General features: G+C 44.9%; 1 long non-coding RNA gene across 1 annotated transcript in view; it reads right to left on the bottom strand.

Moving 5' to 3' along the window:
• LINC02299 (long intergenic non-protein coding RNA 2299) overlaps window positions 1-16,608 on the bottom strand; it is a 49,423-nt gene that overhangs the window by 7,328 nt on the left and 25,487 nt on the right. The gene's annotated exons all lie outside the window — the stretch shown is intronic.

Genomic DNA, 16,608 nt, shown 5'->3' with positions numbered 1-16,608 from the left:
TCTGTTACTGACTATTTTTAAGCATGATCAGGAATTCCTAAGCGTAGTATGAATGGCTCGGTATTTTGATTAATCAGCTCAGTAGGGAAAATTTCTATGGGTAATCAGACTGAACATAAAGATAGGGCACATGCTGAGAATGAATGAAGGGAGGGAAAAGAGGGAGAGAGAAGGACAGAGGTAAGAATTCTTTTGTAGCCAGAAAAGCAGTTTGAGTCAGTGCCACTGAACATGTAAAGCTTCTTTTTTTTTTTTTTTTTTAGACGGTGTTTCGCTCTTGTTGCCCAACCTGGAGTGCAATGGCACGATCTTGGCTCACTGCAACCGCCACCTCCCAGGTTCAAGCAATTTTCCTGCCTCAGCCTCCCAGGTAGCTGGGACTACAGGCATGCACCATCATGCCTGGCTGATTGTTTTTATTTTTAGTAGAGACGAGGTTTCACCATGTTGGCCAGGCTGGTCTCGAACTCCTGACCTCAAGTTATCCGCCCACCTTGGCCTCCCAAAGTGCTGGGATTATAGGTGTGAGCCACCGCACCGGGCCATTAAAGTTTCTGTTTCATTGTGTGTTAGGCTGGCAGCTGCATTAATTTCCTGGGGCTGCTGCAATGACCACCAACGTAGAGACCTATAACAGAAGTGCACGGTTCTGGAGGCCAAAGTCCTAAAGCAAGGTGCCCGCAGAGCTGTGCTGCCTCCGAAGGCTCTAGGAGAGAATCCCTCCATGCCTCTTGCAGCTGCTGGTGGCTCCTGGCTTTTCTTGGCTACTGCCTGCATCTCTCCAAACCCTGCCCCTGTCTGCACATGGCCTTCTCCCCTGTATGTCTCAGATCTCTCTTTCATTCCTCTTTTAATTAAACCAGTCACTGGATTTAGGGCCTAGTCTGAATCCAGGATGATCTCATCTCCACATCCTTAAATTAAAGACTTTGTTTCCAAATGAGATCACGTTCACAGGTACCCAGAGTTAGAACTTGGATGTACCCTTTTGGGGGACACAATTCAACCCACTGCAGCGGATGTTGCTGCGTAATTCCCTTTAACGGAGGTAAAGAGTGGAGACTAAATTGAAGGAATAAAAAAAATGACATGGATAAAACTAAACAGATATAAAAAGAGAATAGAAAAATATAAGAGGTTATAAAAGATTTATGGAAATTTTGTGTGGTCAAAGCTTACTGAGATTGGATAAATTTGTTTATAAGGTTTTATTAAAATTAGGTTTAGTATGAATACAGAAACACGTATAAAATTTGGTTTTCTCTTTTGAAAAAGATGTTTGTGTAGTATTAATAGGAAGCAAAAACTGTAGTAGTAAAGAAATGATGTTTAACCTTCTTTGAGTTATCTTATATATGCATATTATTAACAGGTGTTCCAAAATTATATGATTCCTAAAATGTTGATATGTCTTGGTATATTTTATGTCATAATTATGACTATTTGGTTAAATTTTTGTAGAAAATAACCAAAAAAAAAAAAAAAAAAAAAGAGTGGAGACTGCCCTGACAGTCAACTTCCCCTGCCCCCGGGTGTTGCTGGGCATGCCTCCACGGCTACATATTCTCTCCAAATTGGAGCCTGCTCTGACCCAAGCCCAGTACTGGGTGTTGTTTTATTCTCACAAGTACTCTGCAAGGTCCCCACTTTCCAGAGAAGGAAATACATACCCAAAGAGGTTAAATCAGCTGCTCAGGGTCACATACATGGAGGTGCAATGTTTGAATTCAGGTGCATCTTCTCCAAAGCCAGGGATATGGCCGTCCCACACTGCCTGAAACACTTCTATTAAAGAGCCACTGTATTCTCAAAACTCATTTGTTAAAATACAGTCTCTTCCTGAGAGAGGTTACCCAAGACTTGCTAGAAACCCAGATTGTGGAAGACTATATTAAATCATCTTCTTCTAGAACCTGAGAAACCCCAGGGGCACGCACATAGGGAGAGACACTAAGATGGAGCTTTGGTATAAGGGTAAACTCACACATTGAGAAACTGATGCCCAGAGAGGTTAAGTGACTGGAGCGGGAGTACATAGCAAATCAGAAATCAGACCTGGGAATCCTGATTCCGCATCAGAAAACTTGGAAGACATCAGTCAATTGAAAGATCCTAAACTGGCTGTGTTGAAGGATTGCTATTAATGGAATCAAGTTTAAACAGCAAAGTCTCAGCCAGATTCCCCATGCTCAGCCCTTTCTGGGAGGCCTCCATAACCGAACAGTTCAGATAGGAGAGTTTTAGCATGGAATGAGCGTTAGAGACCTGAGATTCAGTAGTTTGAGTAGCCACTTCTCCCCTCTGAGCGGCAGTTTCCTGAACTTTCAGCAAAAACGTGGCTTTAATATCTCAAAAGTGCCTCTAGCACTAAATATGTATTATTCTGAAGCTCCTAGAGCTTGGGCAAGCCTCAGTGCCCACTAGAGCTAATTCAAACTCCAAATAGACATTGGTTGTTTCCATTGCCTGACACCGTTTCCCCCTTCCTCTATTACCTGCACTTCACCATTCCAGTGGGGAACCATCATCTATAACTTTTACCTTGCAGTTGAAAAGAGCTGACCACTTCGGCTCTGTAGTGAGCATGTGACTTAGGCCTAACCAATCAGAGCAGTTTGTACCCTGAAGATTGTGATTTGTTCAGGAATAGATATCCATCCAATCTGAGCCAACGAGATTCAGTCCAGAGGCTTTTGTTGAAAATACTTGGAGAAAGAAGTTCTCTGTCTGCTGGCATTGCCAAGCAGTGAGAATCCCACTATGTGAGCCAGGGAGGTCAGTGTAAAGGGGAGCTTGAGTATGGTAAACCGAGTCCTGGTAACACTGACATTGCTGGAGCGTCTAGATGCAACCTTGCCTAAGCTCCAAACACTCATGCTCCAAACACTCTTGCCCAAGCTCTAATTTTAGTTACATAAGCCAGAGTAATTATATTCCTATTTTTTCTTTTTTTGCTTAAGCCACTTTAAGTTATCACTTGCAACTAAAAGTTTCCTGATTGATACCAAAAAACCCTCATTTTAAGGATGAGAAGATGGAAACCCAGAATGAAAAAGTAGCTTTTCCATAAAATCTGATAGCAGAAAGCCGTCAAGCCAATTCCCACTATTTACAGATAAAGAAGTTGAATCCTGAATGCCCGTCAAGTCCAATTCCCACTATTTACAGATAAAGAAACTGGTGTCCAGAGATGAGAAGAGGCTTGTTATGTGTATACAACACACACATATGCACACACTCACATTGCAGTGTGAGTTGTCTTATTACAATACTGAGAAACTCTGTTTATCATCAAACATTGCATATACCTCCTATTACACATGAGAGAATTATTATCTAGCCTGGTGCCGTGAAATGCTTTTTCCCATAATGGAATTTTACTCTGGAAGTGTATTTTGGTATTAAAAGGTTCCACTTTATAATGTCGATGGTTCAATCTGTGATCTAAAAGGCACTTAAATGCTTTGAACAAGAAGCATAAAAAGCTTTTATTGCAAAAGCCTTGCTAGATCTACCAATTTTGCCATTGATCCTTTTCCCCTGAAGACTGCTTCTGGAAGCAGCTGTTGCAGAAGCAAATCCCATGGCAGGGTCGGGTCTCCTGTGGGTTAGTAAGACACATTTCAGAGGGCTGTGCTTTCTGCGTGCCCATATGCAGATACCAAAGCATTCTGGATGGGCTGCAACAAAATGCTTTAAGCACATCACTCCAAGCAAAGACATTTGAGCCATCCAGAAAGGCCATGAAGTTTGAGTTTAACTCCCCTCATTAATCTCAGTGTGTTTCCTCCATTAGGTCACTTCATTGTAAAATAGGTTCAATAATACTAGTATCCAGGCTGGGCGTGGTGGCTCATGCTTGTAATCCCAGCACTGTGGGAGGCTGAAGGGGGCGCGGATCACGTGAGGCCAGGAGTTCTAGACCAGGCAAGCCAATATGGTGAAACCCCATCTCGACTAAAAAGAAAATACAAAAATCAGCTGGGTGCGGTGGCGTATGCCTGTGGTCCCAGCTACTTGGGAGGCTGAGGCATGTGAATGGCTTGAGCTTGGGAGACAAAGTTGCACTCCAGCCTGGGTGACAGAGCAAGATTCTGTCTCAGAAATTATTATTAATAATAATAAAACCAGTATCCAGTGTTCCTGTAGGGATCAGTCAGTTGCAGTTTCTAAGAAACCTGATCCATATTGGTGCCTGGTGAATGCAGTTTCCCTGTTCCTGTTTGGTGTGCTTCCTTCATAACTGAGGGATTCAGATCCCACAGAGAACAGAGATGTAGTGGAAAAAAACCCACACTTAACAGCAGGGAGACCCCTGACATCCTAGCTTTACCCTGGGCAGTTCATTCACTTCTCTAAGCCTCCATTTCCTCAATATAAAGAGGCATTTTAATATGTCACAGAACTGTCATTGTCACTCATGTTGTGTATGGACCAATATGGCTGCCTCCGACCTGAATTCCACATGACCTTTCAGCTCAGTTTCCTGCCATGGAAAAGGGAATATGATCAGCACTTCTTAGTCATTGACTCACCCTTTATCAATAGCTGGGGACCAGGGAAATTTGGTCCACTGCCAAGTTAGCAGGGGCTATAGGCAGGAGTATCCCATGAAGGGGCTGTGGGCAGAGAGGCAATGAGAGCTGGAGTAATAGAGCATTTCCCAGAGAGTGCACCATGGACCAGTGGCCCTATCAGACTTCCAAAGTGAAATAAGTATAGGAAATATTGCGTGCAGCACTTTCTGCAAGATTTCCAATGCCCATCATTGTGTTTAATTTCTACGGTCAGAGGGGGAATATAATCTTGTTTAATCTTAGACTTCTCAAACATATTTCACCATGGAACACCTTTTCCCAAGCACCATTTCACAGCACTGATGGAGGGCAGAGCACACTTGAGGGAGCAGGGCTCCAAGATTCCAGAAGCTCAAGTGGAATTTTTAAACTATTTCCTACATTGAGTATTCCTGCTGACACTTCAGTGCTTCCATTTGGGTATTCCAATGCCAAGCTATTCTTTGGCCACACCATTGACTGTTCTCAAAGCATTCATTGATCTGCGCATGTAGTCACATTGACAAAATGCACTCCACTTCCCATGTACTCTCCTAGGCAAAGAGAACACCTGCAAAAATATGGCTCCTGGCTAAAGGGAAGGTAGACACGTGGGTAAACAAGAGTGAAAAGGCTCATAAGATAAATGTGTGCCTGGTGGAAGTGCAGAGGGTTTGGGGAGAAGCCTTGTTTGAAGGATGAGTTGCTGCCCCTAGGAAAGAGTCAAGGAAGGCAGGATGCAGCACAGGCTATGCATGCAAAGGCCCAGAAGGAAGATAGCAGAGGGGATTTCTGGAATTACAAGGAATTAAATTAGGATAGAGAGCCAGGGATAAGAGGAGAGGAGTGGAAAGGTAAGTAGGGGGCAGGCCATGAAGAATGTACTGAGCCGTGCATGCCAAGGGTATCCTTAAGCATCCTCCAGAGGCAATGGAATAGTCAAATATTTTTTAGTGTGGAGGTGAGGTGACATGGTTAGATTTGTGGTTAACAACAGTCCTAAAACCCTGTGGAGGTGGGCTTGGAGAAACCACCCAGAACATTTGATAATGGCTCATAGGCAGGATGTGCTTAAAAGGTTAAAGATGGCTGCACATTCCTTGTCCGTCTCCTGATTGAAAGATGACGTTTATTTCCCCTCCCCTTTCACCTGGGCTGGACTTAGTGGCTTGCTCGGCCAATGGAATGTGGGAGAAGGGACTTCCAAGCCTAGTCATAAGAATCCTTGCAGTTTCTACCTAGGCTTCTTGGAATACTCACTCTAGAGCAGTAGTGTCCAACCCTTTGAATGCGAGGACACTTTGTGGTGGTGGGTATCACAAAAATTATTCACGGACTTTTTTTTTTTTTTTTTTTTTTTTTTAGCTCATCAGCTATCATTAGTGTTAGTGTATTTCATGTGTGGCCCAAGACAATTCTTCCAGTGTGGCCCAGGGAAGCCAAAAGTTTGGACACCCATGCCCTAGAGAGAGTCAGCTGTCCAATCCCCCTAGGAAAGACCATGCTGCTCTAAGGGTAGCCCAAGCTAGCCACATGGAGAGGTGCATATTCAAAGAGACCCACTGTGCTAGCTATCCCAATCAAATCATCAGACATGTCAGTGCAAATGCCATCTAGGGTAATCCAGGTCTAGAAAACACAACATGGAGACAAATTAAAGAGTTCAGCCAGCAGCCAGAACCAAGGCCCCAGTAACACAGCTCCGGGAGGTGCCCCAGCCATCTCTTATTGTTCAGGTCATCCTCGCGGAGGTGGAGCCATTGTGAATCGGAGACCAGCTATCTTGCATGCCCTGCCCCAATTCCTAACCTACAAAACTGTGCATATAATACAATGGGGCTATTGTTCTATGCCACTAACTTTTGGGGTGGTTTGTTACACTGCAAGAGATAAACATGATACTGGACAAATTCAAGTTGAAGTTCATCTAGTGAAACCATCCTGTGAACAGAAGTTACTGTTTTATAGCTACAGAGTCTCCATTTGGAAAATGAAGAATTCCGAAGATGGATGGTACTGACGGTTTCACAACAGTGGGAATATGGTTAATGCTACTGAACTGTGTGCATTTAAAAATGGTTAGGATGGGAAATTTTATGTTATGTGTATTTTACACAATTAAAAATTTCTCAGTCTTGTGAAAAGATTGGGAGCAGTGCACACGCACGCATGCACACACACACGCATGCACACACGCACACACACACGCACGCACACACACTTCTCAGACACATTTCCTATTTCACAGCACAATCTTACCATGTCCTCTGCCCTAGCATGTGTCACTTCATAGCCACAATTCTGAAGCACTGGGGTCCAGTGTCCCTTGAGAAGGAACATGGCCATAAATATGGAGAACCTCATTAGTAGGTGGGCTTCATTAATTAATAAGAATTTAATACAATTCCAGGAGCCAAGCAACAACACCACGTTAGTCGTTTTGTTCCCATGGCAAGACCATCTCTGCAGTGATTTCTTATGTTCCTGGGTCAAATCGAAGACCTCACTGCAAAGCCAGCCAAAGCCTCCCTTCAAGGAAGGCACTTTTGGGCACTTCAAGACATTCATCTTCTCCCAAGGCTCAAAGTCTGCCTAGACATTGCCGAAGACGAAGCATAGCCTCCCATTGCTTTTGGTATTGGAAGTGCAGGGGAGGTGCTGAGAGGCCTTGGGGAGGGGAAGCCATTCTGCAGGAAGGGGAAAGGGTTTGGGGAGGGTCCTAGGGAGAGCATCCTCACCAAGATACTGCCAGAGAGGAGCTGAGCACAGGTCTCTGATCATATTTCACTCATGTTTCAGAGTGCTTTGTTATGTGTCATTCACATTTCAGAGTGAAATATAATCAGAGACCTGTGCTCAGCTCCTGGTTCTGAACCTAACAGTCTCTGTGACATTATGACGGTTTCTCTGTCTCATGATGGGGGCTTCTCTGTCTCAGTGGCAGGTATCACAGGGTCACACTGAGGTATTAAACTTGCAAACTATCTATCAGGTCTGGGAGGAAGAGCCTTACCATGAGCCTAAAGGATTGTTGTGGTTGAATTTTGTCTCTCAAAAATTCATATGTTGAAGTCCTAACCCCCAGTACCTAAAATCAGAGCTTACCTGAAATCAGGGTCATTGTAGATATAATTTGTTAAGATGAAGCCATACTGGAGTAGGGTGAGCCCCTAATACATCACAACTGATATGCTTAATACAAGAGGAAAGTAGGACACAGATACACACCCAGGGAGCATACTGTGTGAACATCAGAGTCTGCGGTCACAAACCAAGGAGCTACCAGAAGCTCCAAAAGAGGCCTGGAACAGAGCCTTCCCTAGCACCTTCAGAGGGAACATGGCCCTTCCCACACTTTGATCTTGGGCTTCTAGCCTCCAGCACTGTGAGACAATAAATTTTTGTTGTTCTAAGCCAAGCAGTTTGTGGTACTTTGTTACAGCAGCCCTGGGAAACTAATACGAGGTTGATTTGTTTCGCAAACGTGCCTTCCTGGAACTCCTCTCATGTCCTGGGCCCCATGTACCGAGACGAGTAGGACACATGTCTCTTTGTGTTCAAGTGTCCCCTTGAGAGAAAAACTCATCACAAAGTGTTATGAGCAAATTGTGTCCCCCCTAGATTCATATGTTGAAGTCCTAACCCTCAGACTGTGACGGTCGATTTGGAGATAGGCCTTAAGTTAAAATGAGTCATTGGGGTGGGTCCCAATCCAATAGGACTGGTGTCCTTATGGGAAGGGGAGATTAGGACATGGATACACACAGGAGGAAGACGATGTGAAGACACAGCAAGATGTCAACCATCTGGCCGGGCACAGTGGCTCATGCCTGTAATCCCAGCACTTTGGGAGGCCAAGGCAGGTGGATCACAAGGTCAGAAGATCGAGACCAGCCTGGCTAACACGGTGAAACCTCGTCTCTACTAAAAATACAAAAAATTAGCCAGGCGTGGTGGCATGAACCTGTGGTCCCAGCTACTTGGGAAACTGAGGCAGGCGAATGGTTTGAACCCAGGAGGTGGAGGTTGCTGAGCCGAGACTGCGCCACTGCACTCCAGCCTAGGTGACAGAGTGAGGCTCTGCCTCAAAAAAAAAAGAAAAAAAAAGATGTCAACCATCTATAAGCTGAGGAGAGAGGTCTCAGGAGAAACCAGTCCTGCTGACATCCTGATCTTGGACTTCTAGCCTCCAGGGCTGTGAGAAAATAAATTTCTGTTGTGTAATTCCCCAATCTGTGGTACTTTGTTATGGCAACCTGACCAAACCAATGTGAAAAGCAACGTGCTAAGTTCAAAATGAACACAATGCAGAGAAGAGGCTCCCAACCTGACCCAGGGAATCTGGAAGGGCTTATAAGAATAAGTGACATCCAAAATTTGGATAACCCCCAGGACTGTGAGGGACAAGTTCTCCATTCCATAAGCATCCATGTTCTGCTTCACTTTGGGGACTCTGGCAGTGGGCTCACTCTCTCCCATCTGAAGACAAAACCCAGAATATCTAGATGTGACCAAGACAAGACTCTCCTTTCCACAGAGGGGTTCTCGTCAGCAGAAGAGCAGCCAGATTGCTGGGGAGGGTCAGCCAGGCCTCTTATGATTCTGCAATTCCACATGAACTCCGCTGCACAGGGAGGGGTCTCATCTCCCTGACTCTACCCCTATCACGATCCATACTGGGGCCTGGTACATAGCAGATTCTCTGAAATTGTTCATTGAACAGAAGTGAGAGAAGAGCTGGACTTCAGCCCAGCCTATTCCTGGGGTCCCAGTTGCCGCAGTGGCCTTGAAGTGTTTGCACAGCTTCTGCAGACAACTGGGACACCTGCTCCTTCACATGGGGGCATGGACCTACTCATCAAGTCAGCCCATCTGTGACCAACGCAATGGGTCATGAAGCAGGAAGTTACACCGTGCAAGATGGCAGTACACGGGTCATCTCACCCAAGCTGAGCCAATCAGCCCCTTCTCTGAGGATTCTGAATTGAAGGGATGGGGAAAAAAGATGGTGAAAGAGAGACAGACACAAAGAGAGCCTGGGACAAAGTGACACACACACATAACACACACACACACACAATCCACACAGCCTTTGTCCCTGGTTCGAGTCCCTTCCTCCCTTCCAGAGGCTGACAAAGCTTACCTAGCAGTGATGGGAGTTGAAGATTCCTATTATCCCTGCCTCCAACCCCATTGGTTCTTCCCAGGAAGAATACTTAAATATGCCTACCACCAGGGGCCTTGGAGGGTTATTTTACAACAAAACAATGAAAAAATAAGAGAAATCTTGGCAAACTTTAAAGAAAATACAGTTAATTGCCACTGACATTCTCTCTTAGGTTGCATAAGCAAGCGCTGGGCTTAATCACATGCATTATTGCAATCAGCCTGCCAATCACATTTTGAAATATTTCATTTTTGACATAATTACAGTAGAATACCCACAACCCATCAATAATATGGATAAGGCAAGATTGATATTGTGTTTCCAAGAGGGGCCTGACAAAGGCATCGTAGCTTTTGTTCAGGGAAGAAAGGCAGGAGGGAGAGCATCTCCCTCTCCCTTTAGGACAGGTTTAGCCAGACTGTCTAGAACGTCACTCACAAGAGGCTGGAAAACCCCACTCTTTGGAACCGTAATTAGGAATTTTCAATTATTCAAGCCTCGTGTAGGTTATTCTTATGGAGTAACAAATTCAAAATGAACGCTATAACCTGGGGCCTTTGTGCTTACATGTTATTGTGAAATGGAAGCCTATTGTGAATTGCTCTTTTATGTTAATTTACCTCATTTTACTTATTAGATCCTTGCTGTAGATCAGTTGATTCATGTGTACGATTCTAAAAAGTAAAATGTGCAGAGAGAAATTGTAAAATTCGGACTTCCAACATACCCAGTAGCTTGGCCATGGGCCCCCTACCACCCCCTACACCTTTTGTCTTTTCATCAAGGTAGGGCTTTGCCTTTATTCCCAACAGCGGGGATTAGAAACCTCAGACAAACCCTCAGACAAGGTTGTTCAAAGGATGACTTTTTTTTTTTTTTGCATACAGAGTTCAGTTCTTTCAGGAGAACCCGTTATCCACTTAGTTGAAGTGCAGAAGTTGAGAGAAGGAGGAGGAAGCTCAGATCTAAGGAGAGCATGTCCCTACTCAAACCTTTGTTCTAGAAGCTTTGCTTATGATGGACAAACCACTGGGCATGTTTGAGCAACAAAAGGGGGCATGAAACCTCCCACAAGCACACCCCGGGGGTCTGGCACGGAGATGGGGGTAGAGTCCTGTGGGTCTGCAGCATGGCTTTGCAGCTATTGCACCCACCCTGGGCTCTCCCTTTTCAGAAAGGCCCTGGCACCTGCCAACTGGCCCTGCCCACAGGGCTGACTTCCCCACCAGGCAGCACAGGCCCAGAGCCAGGCCCCTGATACTTTCCAGAGCCTACAAACACGTCTGACTTTCTTTCAGAATTAGAGGGGAGGAAAAAAGAAGTTTTAGATCACAGAAAACGTTTTAATATGCAATGTTAATATATTTGTCTTTATACTCATGCATTCAAAAAATATAGCTTTAACACATTTAAATTTTTTATTGTGATAAAATATACATAAAATTTACCATCCTAACAATTTTTTAGTGTACAGTTCAGTTGTGTTAAATTCATTTACATTGATGTGCAACCTATCTCCAGAACTCTTTTCACTTGCCAAACTGAAGCTCTGTACCCGTTATACAATTCTCCATTCTCCTCTCCCACAGTCCCTGGCAACTACCATTCTCTTCTCTGTCTCTATGAATTTGACTACTATTGGTACTTTATATAAGTGGAATCATACAATATTTTTTGTTTGTTTATTTTAAAAAGACAGGGTCTCAATCTGTCACCAAGGCTGGTGTGCAGTGGCATGATCATAGCTCACTGCAGCTTTGAACTCTTGGGCTCAATCAATCCTCCTGCCTTAGCCTCCCAAGAAGCTGAGACTATAGGCATGCACCCCTATACCTAGCTAATTTTTAAATTTTTTGTAGAGAGAGGGATCTCGTTGTGTTGCTCAGGCTGGTCTTGAACTCCTGGCCCTGGTAGTATTTGTCTTTTTGTGCCTGGCTTATTTCACTCGGCATAATGAACTCCAGGTCCATGCATGTTGCAGTACGTGTCAGAATCATCTTCCTCTTTAAGGCTGGATAATATCCCATTGTATGGATGGACCACATTTGCTTTCCAGTCGTCTATAGGTGGACACTTGGGTTGCTTCCATCTTTTGATTATTGTCAATAATGCCGCTGTGAACATGGGCATATAAATATCCGTGAGTCCCTACTTGCAATTCTTTTGAGTATATACCCAGAAGTGGAATTGCTGGGGATCATATGAGAATTCTATTTTTAATTTTTTGAGAAAACACCATATTGTTTTCCCCATCAGCTACACCATTTTACATTCCTACCAATGGTAGGCAAAGGTTCCAACTTCTCCACATCTTCATCAGCACTGTTCACTTCTGTTTTTTGGTTTGATTTGGTTGATAGTGGCCATCCCAATGGGTGAGAGGTAGTATTTTTAATATTTTTTCTTAGAGGAAGAGACCCGCAAAGACAATAGTGTCTCAGACTCATGACAGCCAGAGTGTGGCCCTGCTGGCCTCCATCAGCCTCTTGAGGGTCTTCTGGCCTCTTGGTGCCGCAGCCAGAGTGGCCTCTCCCATTCCCACCTGGAGATTTCACTCCTCTGCTTCATACTCTTCTATGGTGTTCTGCATCCAGAATGTTCCGATCCCTTGCTTCTGTGCCTGTCATGCTGCCTGAAAGCACCAGGAGACAGGGGCTGACTCGTGAACAGTACTTGGAAAATACGGACTGAAGAACACATAGCATTGCCCTGTCAGGCATTCAAGAATGCACAGTAGCCCCCACTGAGGTTGTCTGCAATCCACAGCAACCATTCACGGGTGGGCCCTCAGCACTCCACGGAGGCTGCCTCGCTTAGTTCTGTGTTGATTCCTGTGGCTGCTATAACAAATCACAATACACTGGGTGGCTTTAACAAACAGAAGGGGACCCTCTCACAGTTCTAGTGGCCAGACCTCTGAAGTCAGCATCACTGTGCTGAAATCAAGGCTCTAGAGGAGAATCTGTTGCATCTCCTGGTGGCTCTTCCACGTGGCTGCCCACATCCCTTGGCCTATGGCCGCATCCCTCTAATCTCTGCCTCTATTATCACATTGCCTTCTCCTTTGTGTGTGTGTCACATCTCCTCTTGCCTCTCTCTTATAAGGATATAGGTGATAGTATTTAGGGCCCGCCAGATAATCCAGGATGATCTGCCCATTTTGAGGCAGTAACTCTATCACATCTGCAAAGACACTTTTCCAAATCAGGTAACATTTACAGGTTCCAGGGATTGGGTCCTGATATATTTGGGGGGCATTATTCAGGCTACCACAGTTCCCCACACAACCCCATGAGGCATGTCTCCTGTATTTTGGAGGTAAGAAGCTGTGACTGGGGAGGTAGGTGCTTAACGAGTGACATGCTGAGGTCACACATCCCCTTTGGGTGAGATGGTTAATGCGCCAGATTCCAGAGGCTTAGCTCTTCATAGGGCTTCTCAGAGACAAACCCCAGCTTCTAGGACTCCAGCTCTGCCTCACACAACCCCTACAGTCCTGCCCCTGGACCTCAGGATGGTAGAGACTCCCCCACCCCCAACCCAAGACAGTAGGTCCCTGTCTTATTGAGTGCCAAGACTCTTTTTGCTATGCTGTAGAGGGAGATATAACTATTTGTTTTAGGAAACTTTTCTGAAATAAAAACCACTTTTCTGAAATAAATAAGAATGATTTCCACATTACCCAATATTCACGGCGGAATTGTATCCCCCTAAATTCCTACCTTGAAGTCCTAACTCTGAGCTCCTAAGAATATGACCTTATTTGGAAATAGGGTCATAGCAGATGTAATGGTTAGGAGGAGGTCATACTGGAGTAGGGTGAGCCCTACCTCAATATGACAGGTGTCCTTATAAAAAGAGGAAACGTGGTCACAGACACACATACAGGGAGAATACGATTTGAAGGGAGTTCTGCTGCCACAAGCCAAGGAGTTACCAGAAGCTCAGAGACAGACCTGGAATGGATCCCTCCCAAGAGCCTTCAGAGGGGGCACAACCCTGCCCACACCTTGATCTTGGACTTCTGGCCTCCAACACTGGGAAAGAATGAACGTCTGTTGCTTAAGTCACCCAGTTTGTGGTGCTTTGTGACAGCAGCCTTAGCACATGAATACATCTGGTAAGGCAGATCACTGAACTAACCAGAAACTTCATTCCCTGCTGCCTCTCCATGCCTGGGTTGGCAAGGCTGACCCGCTTTTAGGCTGGGGGGTGCTGTCTTGTACCATTCAATGCAGGCACCGAAGTGTGCTTTCTATGGCCTTCCTCACTAGCTGTGAGCATTATCGTCACAACGTGGGGTGTGGTATGGTGTCTTGTATAACATGACCTGAGAAAAAGAAAGAAGAAAGGGAGGGAGGGAGAGAGGGACAGAGGAAGGAAGGAAGGAAGGAAGGAAGGAAGGAAGGAAGGAAGGAAGGGAGAGGGGAGGGAAGAAGGAAGGAGGTAAGGAAAGAAGGAAGGAGGGAGGAAGGGAGGAGGAAGGAAAGAAGGAAGGAGGGAGTGAGGGAGGGAGGAAGGAAGGAAAGAAAGAAGGAGGGAGTGAGGGAGGGAGGAAGAAAGGAAAGAAGGAAGGAGGGAGTGAGGGAGGGAGGAAGGAAGGGAAGAAGGAAGGAAAGAAAGAAAGAAGGAGGGAAGGAAGGAAGAAAGAAGGAAGGAGGGAGGGAGGAAGGAAGGAATGAAGATAGGAAGGAAGGGAGGGAGAGAGGAAGCAAGCGAGGGAGGGAGGGAGGAAGGAAAGAAGGAAGGGAGGGAGGAAGGAAGGAGGAAGGATGGAAGGCAGGGAGGGAGGGAAGGATGAAGGAAGGAAGGAAGGAAGGGAAGGAGGAAGGATGGAAGGAAAGAAGGGAAGGAGGAAGGGAAGGAAGGAAGGAAGAAGGAAGGGAAGGAGGAAGAAGGGAGGGAGGAAGGATGGAAGGGAGAGAGGGAGGAAGGATGGAAGGGAGGGAGGGAGAGAGAGGAAGGATGTAGGGAGGAAGGGAGGGAGGGAGGGATGGAAGAAAGGACGGATGGAAGGGAGGGAAGCAAGGCTGGGAAGGAAGGAAAGAAGGAGGGAGGAAGGGAGGGAGGAGGAAGGGAAGGAGAGCAAGGGGAGAGGGGCACTCATAGGCTGGCTTGTGGAGGCTCTGCCCTTTATCTCCCTTCAGCTGACCTCACTTCCTCTGTTTTCCCGTTCGTTCTTGCAACTGTAGTGTGCCTTCCTGGTGTGCCCTCTGTGGGCATTTCTCTAGGAGTGCCTCCTTGCTTTCATGTATAAATGTGGGTCCCCAAGGTCCATTCACTGCTTTACCTCCTTGCTTTCCATCTGTTTCAGCTTCTTTCATTGACTTGAGACCTTCATGACATCCTCTTCAATTTTCAATCTAAACAGAAGAGCTGCTTCTTATCCGATTTTTTGCCCCAAATTCCCCACTATATTAGGGTCGATTTCTTTTTTAATTAGATCCCTTATTAGCTTTGTTTTTCTGAAAATAAAATTTTAGTTTGAACTACATGAAATTGCCATTTGCATAAATCAAAATTGGTCAAATACCAGCATTTTAAATGGACCATCCTAATCACAAAACATAAAAATAAAAATAATACATGTAATATTATCTCTACATGAAATAGAGAAATTTTGAAGAATTCAAAATGTATGGTGGTAAAAATAAAAATCACTTATTTCATGGCTGGTCATGGCGGCTCATGCCTATAATCCCAGCACTTTGGGAGTCCGAGGCGGTCAGATCACCTGTGGTCAGGAGTTCGAGATCAGCCTGGCCAACATGGTGAAACCCAGTCTCTACTAAAACTACAAAAATTAGCCGGGATGGTGGTAGGTGCCTGTAATCCTAGTCACTCAGGAGGCTGAGGTAGGAGAATCACTTGAACCTGGGAGGCAGAGGTTGCAGTAAGCCTAGATTGTGCCACTGCACTCCAGCCTGGGCAATAGAGTGCACAAAAAACCCTTCAAAAAATCAATGAATCCAGGAGCTGGTTTTTTGAAAAGATCAACAAAATTGATAGACCGCTAGCAAGACTAATAAAGAAGAAAAGAGAGAAGAATCAAATAGACACAATAAAAAATGATAAAGGGGATATCACCACTGATCCCACAGAAATACAAACTACCATCAGAGAATACTATAAACACCTCTACGCAAATAAACTAGAAAATCTAGAAGAAATGGACAAATTCCTCAACACATACACCCTCCCAAGACTAAACCAGGAAGTTGAATCTCTGAATAGACCAATAACAGGCTCTGAAATTGAGGCAATAATTAATACCTTACCAACAAAAAAAAGTCCAGGACCAGATGAATTCACAGCTGAATTCTACCAGAGGTACAAGGAGAAGCTGGTTCCATTCCTTCTGAAACTATTCCAATCAATAGAAAAAGACGGAATCCTCCCTAACTCATTTTATAAGGCCAGCATCATCCTGATACCAAAGCCTGACAGAGACACAACAAAAAAAGAGAATTTTAGACCAATATCCCTGATGAACATCGATGCAAAAATCCTCAATAAAATACTGGCAAACCGAATCCAGCAGCACATCAAAAAGCTTATCCGCCATGATCAAGTGGGCTTCATCCCTGGGATGCAAGGCTGGTTCAACATACACAAATCAATAAACGTAATCCAGCATATAAACAGAACCAATGACAAAAGCCACATGATTATCTCAATAGATGCAGAAAAGGCCTTTGACAAAATTCAACAACCCTTCAAGCTAAAAACTCTCATTAAATTAGGTATTGATGGGACATATCTCAAAATAATAAGAGCCATCTATGACAAACCCACAGCCAATATCATACTGAATGGGCAAAAACTGGAAGCATTCCCTTTGAAAACTGGCACAAGACAGGGATGCCCTCTCTCACCACTCCTATT

This window comes from Homo sapiens, chromosome 14 (genome assembly GCF_000001405.40).
Source record: "Homo sapiens chromosome 14, GRCh38.p14 Primary Assembly".
Taxonomy (NCBI): domain Eukaryota; kingdom Metazoa; phylum Chordata; class Mammalia; order Primates; family Hominidae; genus Homo; species Homo sapiens.
This window is presented reverse-complemented; position numbering and strand designations above follow the sequence as displayed.